Below are 16,609 nucleotides of genomic sequence, written 5' to 3'. Positions count from 1 at the left end.
CCATTCATTCATTCACCCATCCATCCACCAACTCACCCATTCATCCATTTACCCATCTACCCATCCATACATCCATTCATCCTTCCATCTATCCACCCACCCATACATCTACTCACACACCCACTCATCCATCCACCTACCATCTACCTATCCATACATTCATTTATCCTTCAGTCCATCCGTCCATCCATCCATCCATCCATCCATTCATTCGTTCATCCATCCACCCACCCCATACATCCACCCAGCCACCCATTCATCCACCCTTCCACCCATCCATTCACCAATCCACCCATCCATCCATTTATTCATTCATCCACCCATCCACACATTTACTTATCCATACATCCGTCAGTGTCATTCAGTAAATATTTACTGAGCACAAACTCTATGGCAGGCCTTGTGCTGGATCTTGGGTGACAGAGAAATCATTAAGACCCCATGGTCCCTGCCTTCCAAGGGCTCACAGCCCAAGGAGAACGGCAGGCAGGCAAGCCACTAGTGCATGTGCCAGGGTCTGGAGTCTAGACCGGGTGATTTGCCTGGAGAAGCTAGAGGGCTTCCCAGAGGAGAGGACCCTCACAGTCCCATGCTCATGCCCCACCTGGCCATTCAGTGCATTTAGAATTCTATGCACCAGAACAAAGATGGGCATTGTCAGGCTCTATCTCCACTGAGGCCCCAGCCAAGAATTGGGGAGACAGCCTGCTGATCTCCATGGCTTAACCTCAGAGGGCTGCAGGGAGGCATGTATTCCTTGAATACATGAGTTTCTTAAAATTCTTTTGTAACCACTTTTTATTTATGCTTGTATCACCTTTGGAAAGGGGCAGGAAACGAATCTCTTTGGAAGGCCCAAACCTTTGTCTGACACGTTGCTAGATACTTCTCTGGCTTTACCTCCCTGACTCTCACAGCACCCATGAGATGCCTGGCCTCATTCTTGCTATTTTATTGCCATAGACAGTGTCAGCTACATGCTATTAAGTGGCAGGGCCAGGATTTGAACCCAAGTCTGTTTGCTTTAAAAGCACCATTGAAATTCCAGCACCTAGCTATGCCTCGTAAAATATTGCAGAACCATGCCTGTAACTCAGCTGTGTGTACAGATGCTACGTAACCCTCACAACAACCCTAGTGGGGGGTGGGCATGATAAGCCCATTTTACAGGTGAGAAGACTGAGGCCCACAAAGGCTCAGTGGCTCTGATGAGGTCCCACAGTTAGGAATGCCAGGTCTGCGGTATGAGCCTGTGGTCCATGCCCCATTCACCCTCCATAGGTGTTCAGCTCCCGCTCCCACTGATGATGCTGGCCTGGCTGCAGATGCCCCTTCAGGTCATAATGGAGTGCAGAGGCCTCATTGTGCCTATGAAATTGTGACCATTTTCCTTAAATTCATCACTCAATGCTCGTCTCACCTCTCCCGCATTCTCAATAAATTCCTGATCATTTATCGCCATCCGTTTGGCATTTCACCACCCAGAGGAACTTGGAGCCATCTGCAGCCTTGGAAAGTTCAAGCTGTTCTCCTTCCAGGAAAGAAAATGAATGTTACATAAGATGGAGCCCAGCACATTCTTATAGAAGATCAGGAAACCACTTCTCTGACTAAAACAGCTCCCTGTTATCTCTGCCTCTTGCTTCCTATTTTATCCAGGTCCACAATCACACGGCAGCTGCCGTTTTTAAACATTCTCTCTTGCAGAGCCTTTAAAAAGAGCTCCATACTGTCCCTGTGTTCCCATAGAATGGCCGTCTCTCCAAGACCCCCATGGACTCTGTGAGGAAAGGCTTCTCCCACTGCATTGTTCCCAGCAGAGCCTGTGCTGGTGGCCTTGTCCTTTGTCCTTCAGGTGTGGGTGGGAGACCTCTCCAGGGGTCGAGGTGCCTGCAGACCCCCAGTGGACCCTGGCCCACTTCCTCCTAGTGCCTCTCTGGGGTGGCAGGCCTGGCCCAACTATTACCATTTCTTCTTCATAGAACAGGCTCTTCTTCTACTTGCTCATCTTAGGTTATTTTATTTGGTTATTGTCAATAAAACTGGCTCTGTGTTTTGGGGAAACATGTTCATTATAGAACCTTAAGAAACTGAAGTAGAAAGATGTGACTACTGACCACTCCAGGACAATTAACGTTGATGTGCACAGACTCTGAGGAGTTGGAAAGCACCCTAAAGATGATCTATTATAGTTTGACCTGTGGGCTCTACCATGGGGAAACTGAGGCCCAGGGGACTTAGGCTCACTCATTCCCCTGTAGGTGGCCATGGCAGGAGTGGGGAGTCCTACTCAGGGAGTCACTGTGGGATGGGGGACAAGTGAGCAGAAGCGATCAGTGGTCTCTGCCATGTGGCCAGGATGGCTTTAAGCAGACGTGACATTTGAGCCGGGTCTGGTCCGCCCCGTGGCCCTGCAACCCTCTGCTCACTGCCGGCCTCCTGGGCGACACTGCTTTCTGGCTCTGCGGCCCCATCCTCCTCCCATTGATGTTACCTCCTAACTAGCCATCTTGCATTCCGGGTGGTAATTCCTGCTAAATGGCTCCAGATCAGCTTTTCCCAAACCTTGATTGTTTACACGCCACCTTTGTGATTTTCATAGCGGCTATTTAAATTTCATATTATTTCTTCATAGTTTTTTTAAAATCAACTTTCTTTTTTACTTTAAATCTATTTTAAGAGGAAATTTTATTGTAACACAAGAAGTAGAAACCAGTGTCAGGGGCTGTAAATAGGTGACCACAAGGAGAAAACAAGGCGACAGTGTATTGCAGCTCTGCACTGGGGTACACTCAAGAGCCCTGAGCCACCCCGTCCTGAAAGTGGTGGTGAGCTAGTGCCTGAGAGGTGCTTAAAATGGGTCAGCACCTGAGTGAGTCTCTCTCTTAAGTACTCAGAGGATTGGAATGGGATGAACGAGGGAATGAGTAATGTTTTCCTGGTACACGGTGATGGCATTTCATGCTGTGACATCAAACTTCCCTAACTCATCCCAGGCACAACCAGCTGTGGGAGTCCTACAGGCTGAGAGACTCATGCTCTGCACACTCAGGGCTCATCACACCAGCTAGTAAATGTGCAGGGTTTTTAACAACCCTCTGTGTGATTTAGAGTCTAGCTCTCTTCTTTTTTGTTTTTTGCCCTGACATATATGCACATCTTCATTCAAAGTCATCCCATAAATGAGTGTACTGTTCCCCTCCTATGGAACATGCCTGTACAGTAAAAGCATCCCATATGGTGTGAGTGCACCAGCATCGGCCATGGTTTGCTGTGAGGCTGGTTGGCACCAAGGAGAATTAGAAGAAGCAGGTGGGGCCAGAATATCTTCACCCCCACCCCACTGCTTGTTCCTTCAGGCGGCCTGGAGGTGGGTGCCCACTGCCAGAACAAGAGCAAACAAAGGCCCTCCCCGTGCAGCAATAAAGAGACTCAGGCTTGTGCCAGGTGTGGTGGCTCACGCCTGTAATCTCAGCACTTTGGCAGGCTGAGGCAGGTGGATCATTTGAGGCCAGGAGTTCGAGACCAGCCTGGCCAACATGGCAAAACCCCATCTCTACTAAAAATACAAAAATAAACTGGGTGTGAGGGGACGCACCTGTAATCCCAGCTACTCAGGAGGCTGAGGCAGGAGAATCACTTGAACCCAGGAGGCGGAGGTTGCAGTGAGCCAAAATTGTGCCACTGCACCCCAGCCTGGGTGACAGAGCAAGACTCTGTCTAAAAAAAAAAAAGAGAGAGAGAGAGAGAGACTCAGGCTTGAAAGACAGTGCTCCAAGCTCTTGCACAGAAGCGAGGTCAGTCATACCAGCATCTGGTCCTTTTCCAGAATCTTGGGACAGCTGTGGAGCTCTTCATTAATGGACTGCTCTAAAAGTCACACCATGTGCCTTCCACAGACCATCAGTGATTTCCCAGAAGGGCAGTTCCAAATATTGATCTAAATGTCGCCTCAGAGGAGCCCTTTGGCATAAGAACCTTTTCAAAACCGGCCAGGGCCCCGGCTGGCCTAGAAGAGGCATCTGAAGAGATCGCACATGTTAATAAAGGTTCTTAATCTCTTGGCCTCCTATAATGCAGAACTGCTTTTCGATTAAAAATAAATCACTCCTGGAGCTTGCATCCCCAAAGCATATGAAATAATTTTGAGGCAGTAGATATCTTGTGTTGGAGGAGTAATAATAGCCATCTAAGTTTCCAGCCTAGTACAAGGGGGGTGATTATCCATCTCACCCCACTGGCACTGACATATTTTCTGCACCTGTAGGAGATTACAGGAGGATGGGAAAGTGTGGGAGAGGCTAATCAGGCTTAATTAGGGAATGCAGGATGTCGGTTTTGCTTGTTATTGCACCTGGGCACCAGGGCTGTCAGGCTGCTGACCGCCTCGGTGGGCCTCCACACTTTGGTCCTGTTTGCATTTTATGAGCAGCAAACAGGTATGCACCTAAGTAAGTGAAGTTCAAGACCAAACTCTTGAACCTAGTATCTCTTACACTCCGCAACTCTAGCATCTCCAGTCCTATAGGAAGCAGGCCTGTGCTGTGTGGTATGGAGCGGATGTCCCCTGTCTCCTGACCCTGACATGCTTGGCTCAGGGTGCCCAACCCGGCCTGGCATATGCTCATCTGCTAATTATTCTGGGTCCACACTAGACTGGAAGTTCCATAAGGGTAGGGACTTGGTCTGAGATGTGTCCCCAGAGCCTAACCCAGTGCCTGGCCAGACAGAGCTCTCAAGGAATCTCTGTTAAATAAGAAATAGAGGGCTGTGAGCTGTGTGGGCCTCTGTCTGGTGACAAGCATGGGTTCTTCCTGTTGGGTTACAGCTGTGGCCACAGCAGCCTTCCAGCTACTTTCATAGGGCTTCATCCTTTCTAGAAAAAAAATTATATATATAAATATTTTATATTATAAAATATATGATATATTTATTATATTATTATAAATACATATTTTAAAATACATAACATATACATATATATTTTTTCTTTCTTTTTTAAAGGAAATAAATACTTTAGGGACTACTCCAGAACCTTGCATGCATCTGAACTTTTCTTGGAAATGTCACCCCTTTTAATTTTGTTTTATTGTATTTTATTTTTGAGACGGAGTTTTGTTCTTGTTGCCCAGGCTGGAGTGCAATGGTGCGATCTCGGCTCACTGCAACCTCCGCCTCCCGGGTTCAAGTGATTCTCCTGCCTCAGCCTCCCAAGTAGCTGAGATTACAGGCATGCACCACCAGGCCTGGCTAATTTTGTATTTTTAGTAGGGATGGGGTTTCACCATGTTGGTCAGGCTGGTCTTGAAATCCTGATCTCAGGTGATCCACCAGCCTCAGCCTCACAAAGTGCTGAGATTACAGGCGTGAGCCGCCGCGCCTGGCCGTTACCCCCACTCCTTTTTTTTTTTTTTTTTTGAGATGGAGTTTCACTCTTGTTGCCCAGGCTGGAGTGCAATGGCGCTATCTCGGCTCACTGCAACCTCCACTTCCTGGGTTCAAGCGATTCTCCTGCCTCAGCCTCCTGAGTATCTGGGATTACAGGCGCTTGCCATCAGGCCTGGCTAGTTTTTGTATTTTTACTAGAGATGGGGTTTCACCATGTTAGTCAGGCTGGTCTAGAACTCCTGACCTTAGGCAATCCACCTGCCTTGGCCTCCCAAAGTGCTGGGATTACAGGCGTGAGCCACCGCACCTGGCTCATTACCCCTTTTTAATTAGTAGCATTGCTCTTCTCTCTCTGACTATACGTACTCTCTCTGACTTCTAAATTTATCAGCAGCTTCTTCTGAAGCTGGCCTGGTACCCGGTGAGCTCTACGGGACTCTGAGCTGAGTTTAGAGGAGGGAAAGGCAGTTGAAGGGATTTCTTGTTGGCTACAATGCTTAGACACCTCAGGGGGTGAAGCACATGCTCTGACTGTTACCAGTAAGTTCCCAGGCCAACCAGTGGGTAGTTCTTACTACCACACTTGGCTTGCTAGGGCTTTTGCATGAAAATGAATGTGAGGACATAAGATCAGTTGTGGCAGGAAGACACATAACTAACCACACAGGGGACCAACATAAAAGCTGTTTCCTCTGGTATAGGCTGACTAATGCACGGGTAGCCTGGCTGGGGCTCCACAGGCAGGAAAACATTTTGATAAGATGATTATAACAGTAGCCATAACAGTAGCCAACTTTATTGTGTATATTCTATGTTGTTTAATTCTCACTACAGGTCCTATGGTTCTCCTCATTTCACAGATGAAGAAACAGTAGTTCAGCAACTTGCCCAAACTCACAGAAGTAGGAAGTCACAGAGCCTAGATCTGAACTCAAGTCAACTGGCTATTCCCCATGTAAGGGGTCTTATTAATGATAGTCTGCATTTGTTAAGGTGCAGGCTGAGCACAGAGACCTCAAAATTTAGTGGCTGAAATAAGAGAGAGGTTTATTTTGCTCTCACTTAGCAGTCCAGAGGTGAGCAGTCCAAGTTGGTAGGGTCACTGGGCTCCACATGGCCATTCAGGGACCTAGGTTCCTTCCATCTTGTTGCCCCACCACCACTTAGAGTGTGGTTCAATCACCAAAGCTGGTCATTGCCTTCTCTGTGTTCCTGACCATGGGGAGGAGAAAGAGCAAGTCTAAGGCAAGCAGATTATTTCAAGTAGGTGTTGTAGAAATTGCATACGTCACTTCTATTCATATTCTATTGGCATAACTTAGTCATACGGCCACACCTAGCTGCAGGGAAGTCTGGGAAATATGGTCTCTATCTGGGCAGCCATATGAACAGTTAAAATTCTATAAAACTCTGTAACTACAGAAGAGAGAATGCAGTTTGGGGCAATCAGTTTGCAGTCTACCATAAAGACCATCTTCTCTTTTGTGAATATTAAGACTGGGCTACCACAGGACAGTGTTAAATGCATTCATGATCATATGCAGACATGGGGTCATCTATTCATTTCATAAATATGAAGCCCTTCCTTTGCCGGTACTACTGTAGTGAGCTGCTTGGGGGCTGCCAAGATGCCTGATTCACTGTCTCTTCCTGAGGCACAGCCGGGAGATGAGACATCAGCCAGGAATCAGGAAAGAGGAAAGAGAGTTGACTGGTGGATTTCATTCACTCATTCAACCTGGTGTATTTACACACATCTTGTGCTGAGAAAGGACTTGAGGTAGCCCACTTGTAGTAGGATACAGCTGGCAAAATGCTGTTCGTGTGCGTAATCTCTTTCACCTTCTCACCCACTCTGAGGGAGGCAGGGTAGTTTCAGAGGAGTTCTGGAAGCATCAGAAATCCCATGACTGGTGAGTGGTGAGGGCAGGATTTGGAGCTGGTCTTGAGGGTGGTAGAAAGGGCAAAGTGCAGATTCGAAGTTGGGAGAGTCCACATTCGAGGCCCGGCTCTTCTGATCCTAACGAATAGCTTCACTCACCCCTGGAAGCCTCAGTTTCCTCATCTGGAAAACTGATGCTCAGGCTACTTATGTCAAAGGGCCAGGAGGAGGACCTGCTGAGATAATGGGTGAGTTTCTGGGGCACGTAGATGCTCCACAGCCGTGAGTGTCCTCCCTGGCTTCTTAGGAGCACTTGGTCCCTGGCAATTTGCATTACATGTTCTATGATGTCCTAAGAATGTGTCCTCGAGAGAACAATGAGTCCATGGACTCAGGGACACTGGGCAGGGCCCTATCTAGGCCTTTGGTGTTTGGCTCCAAGTTCTCCCTTCATCGTGGGAATCCAGCTGCAGGCTTGAAAGGCAATGCTCCTGAGACTGCTCCCCTGCTCTGCCCTCAGCTTCCCTCGGGTGCTCTCCAGCTTGGCTGCACCACCTGTGACCTCACTTCATTGTGGACACCCTGACCAGGGCCCCAGTGACTGGGGTACCTGGAAAGGCTGTGGAGCCCAGCCTCCTACTGATAGGAACCTTCCTGCAGGTGAGGAGGATGGGAAGGGCATCCTGAGTGGAGGAGAGGCCACACAAAGGTGCGGGGAGATGATGTAAGTGCAGAGACATCAGTGATTTTGGCTGTTGACACAACAGGAATATGGCATTTGTGTGAGCACAGATTTGAGTGGGGGAAACTGGGGGCAGGGTGTGGAGTTAGGAGGCTGTTGGGATTGTTCAGGCTGTTGGGGTAATAAGGTCTGGGAGTGACAGCAGAGGGAATGGAAAGAACAAATCCAAGAGAAGTGAAGACTCAGCAAAGGGCCTGTCCAAGGAGGAAGTCCTGGAACCCAGAGTCCAGTGGCAGCTCCACAAGAGGACAGGCAGGGGCCACAGAGGCAAGAACAGGGCCCTGGGGTCCCAGCAGGGTACTTCGGAGCCCCAGGACTGTGACTCAGAGCAAAGCAGAGGCTGAAGCTGAAGGTGGGAGCTCAGAGAGACGTGCTGCCTGTTTTATGGCACCCAAAGAATTCACTTCATGGGCTAGAGTCTGACGCATAGAGAACCTGAACAGGCTCCTGCTTTCCTGCATACATAGATACGAAGAAAAGCAAAAGAGTGATTATCACAAAACTCTGGACAGTGGGTTGCTCCTGCAGGGAGAAAGGTATGCACTGTGCTTGCAAGGTGCTGGTCATGTGCTCTGTGTCTTTGACTGTTAGTAGGTACATCGGGTTTCCACCTGTTATGATTATTTGACCTGTGCAGATCAGTTGTTTGTACTTTTTAATACATATATCTGTTTCACAATGAAATGTCACACACCCCTTGCTGCTCTGGATGACATCAACCTGGGCAAAGTTGGAGATGAAGGTTAGAGATACACTGGAGAAATATATGCTATATAAAGAATTTTGGGCCAGGTACGGTGGGCCAGGTATGGTGGGCCCACATGCCTGTAATCCCAGCACTTTGGGAAGCCCAGGTGGGAGAATCACTTGACTCAGGAGTTCAAGACCAATCTGGGCAACATGGTGAAACCCTGTCTCTACAAAAAATAAAAATCAGCTGGGCAGTGGTGGCTCGCGCCTATAGTCCCAGCTACTCAGGAGGCTGAGGTGGGAGGACCGCTTGAGCCCGGGAGTTTGAGGCTGCAGTGAGCCATGATTACACCACTGCACTCCAGCCTGGGTGACAGAAGAAGACCAAGTCTCAAAAAAAAAGTTGATTTTTATGTTGTTTGTTTTTCTAATCTGGAATATTTGAGGAGTCTAGTGACATTCCGGATGTCTTAGGCATTATATGTCTTAGGCATATAAATAAGGAATCATAGACAGCCATAATAAAAGGATTGTGTTCAACCTCCATCTTTTCACCCTGAGTTTCTATTTTCAGGAGCCTTCCAGCTCAGAAAATAGGCTGCATGCGGAGCAAGACTAGACTGAGTCTTGACAGGTCGAGGGGAATATTACTTAGGAGACATGGTTCTCTTATTCGCCTCAGGAACATTTTTTTTTTGCCTGCAAAAAGCCAGGAGGATTCTCAGCTTTGCCCAGGTGTTCTCAGGGACAGCCACACAGAATGTCCCAGAAGCTGAGTGGAAAGCAGTCCTGGGATACACCCTCTGCAGAGGGATGGTGAAAGACAACTGGAGAGACGATTTTGATGCGGTCACACAGCCAACAGTGACAGTCATGTATGTGGCACAGCATGGCCTCTCGTGCCTGGGGACTGCACAGCATCACAGGCTTCTCCTCTGCCACCCTGTCCTCAAGCACACCAGTGGATTGCAGGCCTCCCACGGAGCTCTGCAGAGTGGGTAAGGCATCCGCCTTCCAGAACCTCTCAGCTTAGCAGGCTGGGTAAGGCAGGCAGTCGCCCCGGGGGAATGTGATAAGTGCCCAAAGAGAGATGTTAGCAGCATGATAAATTAGGTGGTAAATGCACCAGGCTCTCCGTCCCCGTCTGTTTCAGGCTGGTGGATGCTGGATTTGCTTTCGCACATTTATATGGAAATACATCTTTGCTGTGGCTTGTAATTTTCTAGTTGAATAACTTCAGGGTAGGCCTACTTTAGAATTTAATTATCCTTACGCTGGGAGAGCTTTGCTGAGGTTCAGTGCTCAGAAGAGTGCACGATTCTAAACATTGCGTGACACTCACCATAGGGCACCGTTGGCTGCAGTACATCACTGTTTTGAGGGTTGTATGATAGTGTTCTTATGTCCTGCTGACCCAGGAGTCAAGATGGACTGGTCTCAAATGAAATTCTGCCCTACCACTAATCACGCAGCAGGGAGGTTTCTCATCTACTGGATACTTAACCAAGAGGTTTTGAAGCCAGACTGATTTTGGCAACCCTAATGCATTGGCTCCACAGTGCTTTTTTAATGACAGTCCAAGCTAAATATGAAAGATCCAACTGCAGATTCATTGTGCACTAAAGGCTTGAATCTCTAAGTAGTGGTGACATAGTCCTGTAGGGAAATTGTGAATTGAAGCTTCTCAGAATTAGGCTTCTCAAAGCCGAGGCCCAATGTAGGAAGATAATATGTGGCTGTCTAGAGTGTGGTGCTGAAAAAGGGTCAGAGGGCTTCTGTGTTCCTCAGAAAAGGGAACTGGGATTGATTAGTAATATCTGCTTTGAGTTCAGGAGCAGGGACAGTGGCCCAAATGCCATGTGTTTGTAATTAGCCATTTCCAAGATACCTCCCAACTTCTGGGCTCTGTGCAGAGAGTGGTGGGGCGGGGAGGGGGCTTTCTCCAATGTTCTCTCCATTCACCCTCACTGCAAAGTGTTGATGCTATTTCCATGGGAAGATGTTCATGGAAAGATGTTAAGGAATCAAAAGCAGGATTTAAAAGAAACATACAATGTATAAATAATTACGAACAAATTTTAATATATTTGGAAAAGAACCTGGAAGGAAATATATCATAATGTTCATAATTGTTATCACTGGGTGATAAGATTGTGGATGGATTTTGCTTTTTCCTTCATGCTCATCTATATTTTTCTATTTTTGTGCAATGACCCATATTCCTTTTTAAGCATACATAAATTATATGTGTGAGTTGGTGTGTGCATTCTTCAATATTACATATGTGCAGATTTGGTGGCATGCTTTTTTCACTTTATAAATTCATCAGGAACATTAATTACTCCTCCTCAATGTAATTTTTTAGTTACTACTTAAGGTAATTCTAAGCCTTTTGCTTCATCTGGGCTGAAAGGTCTGGACAGCAACCTCATCATCATCTCCTCATATTTTTTTTTAAAGTATCAACTTTTATTTAGATTCAGAGGATACACGTGCAGGTTTGTTACACGGGTTTATTGCATGATGCTGAGTTTGGGGTATGACTGATCCCATCACCCAGGTATTGAGCATAGTGCCCAATAGGTAGTTTTTCAGTCCTTGCCCCCCTCCCTCCCTTCCCCCTCTAGTAATTCCCAGTGTCTGTTTTTCCCAGCTTTATGTCCATGTGTACTCAATGCTTAGCTCCCACTTGTGAGAACATGCAAAACCCCACCATGTTTGGTTTTCTGTTCCTGCATTAATTTGTTTAGGATAAATTAATTTGTTTAGTAATCTCCAGCTGCATCTGTGTTAACTGTAAAGGATATGATTTTGTTCCTTTTTATGGCTGCATAGTATTCCATTGCATATATGTACCACCTTTTCTTTATCCGATCCACTGTTGATGGGCACCTAGGTTGATTCCATGTCTTTGCTATCATGAATATTGCTGTGATGAACATACGAGTGGAGGTGTCTTTTTGGTAGAATGATGTATTTTCCTTTGGGTATATACCCAGTAATGGGATTGCTGAGTTGAGTGGCAGTTCTGTTTGCAGTTCTTTGAGAAATCTCCAAACTGCTTTTCACAGTGGCTTAACTACCTCAGTTTCTAATACTAGACACACATTAACTTTCTTCCAAAAGGACGAGCAAAAGATAAAAACTCAACAGAAATCTGAAAGACTCTGCAGCCCAAAGGAGGGGGGTATCCTGAGGAGGAGGCCTACATAAGACTCATAGAAGAGAGTCTTACATCATAGAAGACAGTGTTACATCATAAAAGACAGTCTTACATCAGAGAAGAGAGTCTTACATCATAGAAGATAGTCTTACATCATAGAAGAAAGTTCCACATCGTGGAAGATAGTTTGACATCATGGAAGACAGTTTGACATCATAGAAGACAGCCTGACATCACAGAAGATAGCCTTACATCACAGAAGACGGTCTGACATCACAGAAGACAGCCTTACATCACAGAAGACAGCCTTACATCACAGAAGACAGTCTTACATCATAGAAGACAGCCTTACATCATAGAAGACAGTCTGATGTCATAGAAGACAGCCTTACATCATATAAGACATCCTTACATCATAGAAGACAGTTTCACATCATAGAAGACAGTTTGGCATCATAATAGAGGATAGTCTTACTTCATAGAAGACAGTTTTTTTTTTTCTCCTGCCTCAGCCTCCTTAGTAGCTGGGATTACAGGAGCATGCCACCATGCCCAGCTAATTTATGTATTTTTAGTAGAGAAAGGGTTGCACCATGTTGGCCAGGCTGGTCTGGAGCTCCTGACCTTAAGCAATTCTCTCGCCTCAGCCTCCTAAGTAGCTGGGAGTATAGACACAAGCCACCACGCCCAGCTAATTTTTGTATTTTTGGTAGAGATGGGGTTTCGCCATGTTGGCCAGCCTGGTCTCGAACTACTGGCCTCAAGTGATCTGCCCACCTCGGCCTCCTGGAGGGCTGGGATTACAGGCATAACCCATCAAACCTGGCCAGAAGACAGCCTTATATCACAGAAGACAGCCGGACTTCATAGAAGATAGTCTAACATCATAGACGATAGTCTTAAGTCAGAAGATAGTCTTACATCATAGAAGACAGTCTTACTTCAAGATATTTAGAAAATTTCCAGTAACTTCCAACACACTTCAAGAAGACTTGGCCAGGCGCAGTGGCTCACGCCTGTAATCCCAGCACTTTGGGAGGCCAAGGCAGGTGGGTCACCTGAGGTCAGGAGGTTGAGACCAGCCTGGCCAACATGGTGAAACCCCGTCTGTACTAAAAATACAAAAATTAGCTGGGCGTGGTGGCAGGCACCTGTAATCCCAGCTACTTAGGAGGCTGAGGCAGGACAATCACTTCAACCCGGGAGGCGGAGGTTGCAGTGAGCCGAGATTGCACCATCACACTCCAGCCTGGGGGACAAGAGCAAGACTTCGTCTCAAAAAAAATGAAGAAGACTTGGCATCTATAAAATAAGACCCACTTATGCAGAGGGGAAGAAACTGACATCTGAAAAGATTCCGTGGGATCTAGAGCTTCTCTAATTATGGGGAAGGAGATTGTGAATAGAGAGCCCTTAGCCCGGTGCCTGGCCCATAGGCTCTCAAAATATGTTACTGTTATCATTCTTAAAATAAGTTATATTCACACACAACCTATTTTTCTAATGTTTTCCCTTATTAGGATTTATGCCAATTGGGGATTTTTAACCTGCAGTTTTAGCAATTCTGCCAAGCCAGGCCCTTCCCTGCCTCTCCCTAGACTCATGCAAGTTACAGAGTGAGACCCGAATGTGGCCTGGGAGCTGCTGAGCCAGCCAAGGGCCAGGGCGGCTGCCATTCTGCCACGTGCCTGGTCGACTCCGATTGCTTTATTTCTCTGGTGGAGCCACTGTGGTTCGCATGTTGGAGCTGGGAAGGGTTCCATCTGGCTCACAGCCAAGGAGGAATGGAGAATTCCTTCAGACTTAGGTAGGCTGACAATCAACATCATTGCTCCCAAGAAAAAATATTTTGAGTCATGACCCCTGGGTGGGATTGGAACCCTTCAGTTTCTGCCCAGATGTGCCTGCTTCATGGGAACCAGATGTGTTAAAAAGCAAAACACGGGCCAGAAAACCTGCCATGTGTGTAAAGAGGCTGTCTGGAGCAGTCTTCCCAAGGGCCCGCATAGCTTTGCATGTTCTCCAGTGGCTTGACTGAGGAAACCCTAACATGCACACGCAGGAGAGGCAGCCTAGAGAAGTGAACTGGTACCTACCGGCAGCTTTTCATCTTCAAAGCACTTCTGCAAGGCAGGGATTTTTTTTTTTTCTTTTGAGACAGAGTCTCGCTCTGTCACTAGGCTGGAGTGCAATGGCGCGATCTCGTCTCATCGCAACCTCCGCCTCCCGGGTTCAAGTGATTCTCCTGCCTCAGCCTCCTGAGCAGCTGGGACTACAGGCGTGTGCCACAACACCCAGCTAATTTTTGTATTTTTAGTAGAGAACGGGGTTTCACCATGTTAGCCAGGATGGTCTCGATTTCTTGACCTCATGATCTGACCTCCTTGGCCTCCCAAAGTGCTAGAATTACAAGCGGGAGCCACTGCGACCTGCCAAGGCAGGGATTATTATTCCTGTTTTCCAACTGAGGCACTTGAGGCTGTGAGTGACTTTCTCAAATAACAAGGCAGGGTTCATCACACAGCAATCCCTTTGCCATTACTCCAGCCTTTCTCGAACCCCTGTCCCTCAGATCTTAGAGATGCATGTGTGGACCACAGCAATGGACTTTTGGCTGTAGTCTTGGTCTGGGCAAGAAAAAAACGTGGATGGGTTGATATAACACAAGTATCTGAAAGCCAGATTGATAGATGTAAATTTCTAGAGAGAAGGACCTAGACATATAGATTTGAACTTAGTGAGTGGCCTCTGGGGGCCGGGATGCTGCATGTTTGTTCGTTTGTTTTTTGAGACAGAGTCTCGCTCTGTCGCCCAGGCTGGAGTGCAGTGGTGCCATCTTGGTTCACTGCAACCTCTGCCTACTGGGTTCAAGCAATTCTCCTTTCTCAGCCTCCCGAATAGCTGAGACTACAAGCACTCATCACCATGCCCGGCTGTTTTGTATTTTAGTAGAGACGGGGTTTCACCATGTTGGTCAGGTTGGTCTCGAACTCCTGACCTCAGGTGATCCCCCTACCTCGGCCTCCCAAAGTGCTGGGATTACAGGTTTAAGTCACTACTCCCAACAGATGCTGCATGTTAAAGGACTCATGCTCCTCTTGCCTTGAGGGCAGAACAAACACAAATGGAGCCGATGCAGTTCAAGGAATTTCCATAAAAGGCAAGGAAGGAACTCCGGGCCTCAAGAGTTTAAAACTGAGATAAACAGCCCATGTTAATATTTGAGTGTCCTGTTTCACAGTTTTGGGAGGAGGCTGGAGATGATATAATTATGGAGTTCAGTCCACAGCATGACATATGTAAAGCACTTAGCTCAATAAGCATTCCTTCCCTTTCGGGGTAGGGGTCGGGGTAGGGGGATCTTAGAGATGCACAGATACTCCCAATATAAACAAAACATAATCAACTGCAACCATGTAGAATCATCAGGACATGAAATGTGAGCTGAACTGTGGTTAGCCTGGAGGCTGCAGATGCTTCTCAGAGAGCTTTGAAGCAGGATGGCTCAAAGACAAACAAGAAGTGAGAAAGAAAGGAGGGAGAGAGGAGGCGGGGTGGCCCTCTAGTGCCTGGGACAGAGAGGTGTGCGGGAGGAGCTTTCAGGCTCCTTTAGGACTCTGATCTTTCAATGATCTGAAGAAAGCTCATACTGAAAGGTAAAGCTCCTCACACAGGGAATTTGGGAGTCAGGCTCTGCAGTTTTCTTCTATTTCTGGGAGCACTTATTTCAGCAGGGCATTTGCACCAAAGGAAGAGGAAGCCTCCTCAGACGCTGGGCCGGCCATACCCTAACTAAGCATGCACTTTGGGCAGGCACAGCACAACCTCAGCTGCAGTCTCAGTGGTACGGGTGGCATGGAAGACTGGGTGACATGGAGGACTGGGCCTCACCGCACTGGGGCCGGCTACCCCCTGGGGTTGCCATCAGAGCAAGTTCACACACCAGCCCACGGGGGAACTCGTGGGATCTGTCAGTGTGAGCGGAAGAAGGATCAGGCTCCTAGACTAGGGTCCCCCAGGAAGTGGGCAGGCTGGCTGGACTTCAGTAGGAGAACTGAGCTAGAAATCCAGGCATTCTGGTGTGGGGGAGGCAAGAGGCTGCGGGGCAGGCTGGAGTCAGGCTGTGCTAACGGGAAAATAGGGAGTCAGGGAAATTGTTTCCCATGCGACTTCCGTAAGGGCAGTGGACCGGGTCTCATTCAACTCAGGATTCTGAAGTGGCTTCACAAAATACGCTTAGTGTTCCTTACGGACGAAGGAAGGAAGAAAGGAAGGACTAACAGTGCCTTTATTTCAGGATTGTCCAATCTATCCCCCTCCCTCCATCTCATCTCCTGCTGCCATGAGGTCACAGTGGGAGTAAATCGTCCACGACAGGCAATGTAGTGTACTGGTTAAGAAAGGTCTTCAAATCAGATCTCTCTCCCTCCAAGCTTGGCATGTGTGCATTTTTAGCTAAATTCTTAACAGCTCCATGCCCAATTCCTAATCTGTCAAATGGCTTAGAATGTTACGTAATGCTGAGATCACACCTGGGGAGACGACAATGTTAGCTCATGTGGGTTGAGTGCTCCGATGCACGCTGGGCTCGTGTTTCACTCATTACCAATGTAATCATCACGGAGCCTCTGGGAGGTGTGTGCTACCATTAGTACCCACTTCACAGATGAGGAAACTGAGACATAGAGTGATTGAGTCACTTGTCACCTAGGCCTGCAGCCAGTCAGGGGCAGATCCAGGATTC

At 47.5% G+C, this 16,609-nt stretch overlaps 1 protein-coding gene across 10 annotated transcripts in view, besides 4 other annotated features; it reads left to right on the top strand.

Annotated features, from left to right (window-relative positions):
• The window catches only part of MGLL (monoglyceride lipase), a 134,120-nt gene that overhangs the window by 16,465 nt on the left and 101,046 nt on the right, over positions 1 to 16,609 (top strand). The gene's annotated exons all lie outside the window — the stretch shown is intronic.
• Positions 15,118 to 15,217: an enhancer, noted in NCBI's record as "active region_20474". NCBI's record gives its function as "activates an Ori minimal core promoter by ATAC-STARR-seq in GM12878 lymphoblastoid cells {active_cell/tissue: GM12878}" and the evidence as "EXISTENCE:reporter gene assay evidence [ECO:0000049][PMID:35858748]".
• Positions 15,118 to 15,745: a biological region, named in NCBI's record as "NANOG-H3K4me1 hESC enhancer GRCh37_chr3:127509819-127510421".
• Positions 15,143 to 15,745: an enhancer, noted in NCBI's record as "NANOG-H3K4me1 hESC enhancer chr3:127509819-127510421 (GRCh37/hg19 assembly coordinates)". NCBI's record gives its function as "activates a minimal SCP1, AML or CMV promoter by ChIP-STARR-seq in primed H9 embryonic stem cells {active_cell/tissue: H9 hESC(primed)}" and the evidence as "EXISTENCE:reporter gene assay evidence [ECO:0000049][PMID:30033119]".
• Positions 15,746 to 16,349: an enhancer, noted in NCBI's record as "H3K4me1 hESC enhancer chr3:127509215-127509818 (GRCh37/hg19 assembly coordinates)". NCBI's record gives its function as "activates a minimal SCP1, AML or CMV promoter by ChIP-STARR-seq in primed H9 embryonic stem cells {active_cell/tissue: H9 hESC(primed)}" and the evidence as "EXISTENCE:reporter gene assay evidence [ECO:0000049][PMID:30033119]".

This window comes from Homo sapiens, chromosome 3, assembly GCF_000001405.40.
Source record: "Homo sapiens chromosome 3, GRCh38.p14 Primary Assembly".
Lineage (NCBI taxonomy): Eukaryota > Metazoa > Chordata > Mammalia > Primates > Hominidae > Homo > Homo sapiens.
This window is presented reverse-complemented; position numbering and strand designations above follow the sequence as displayed.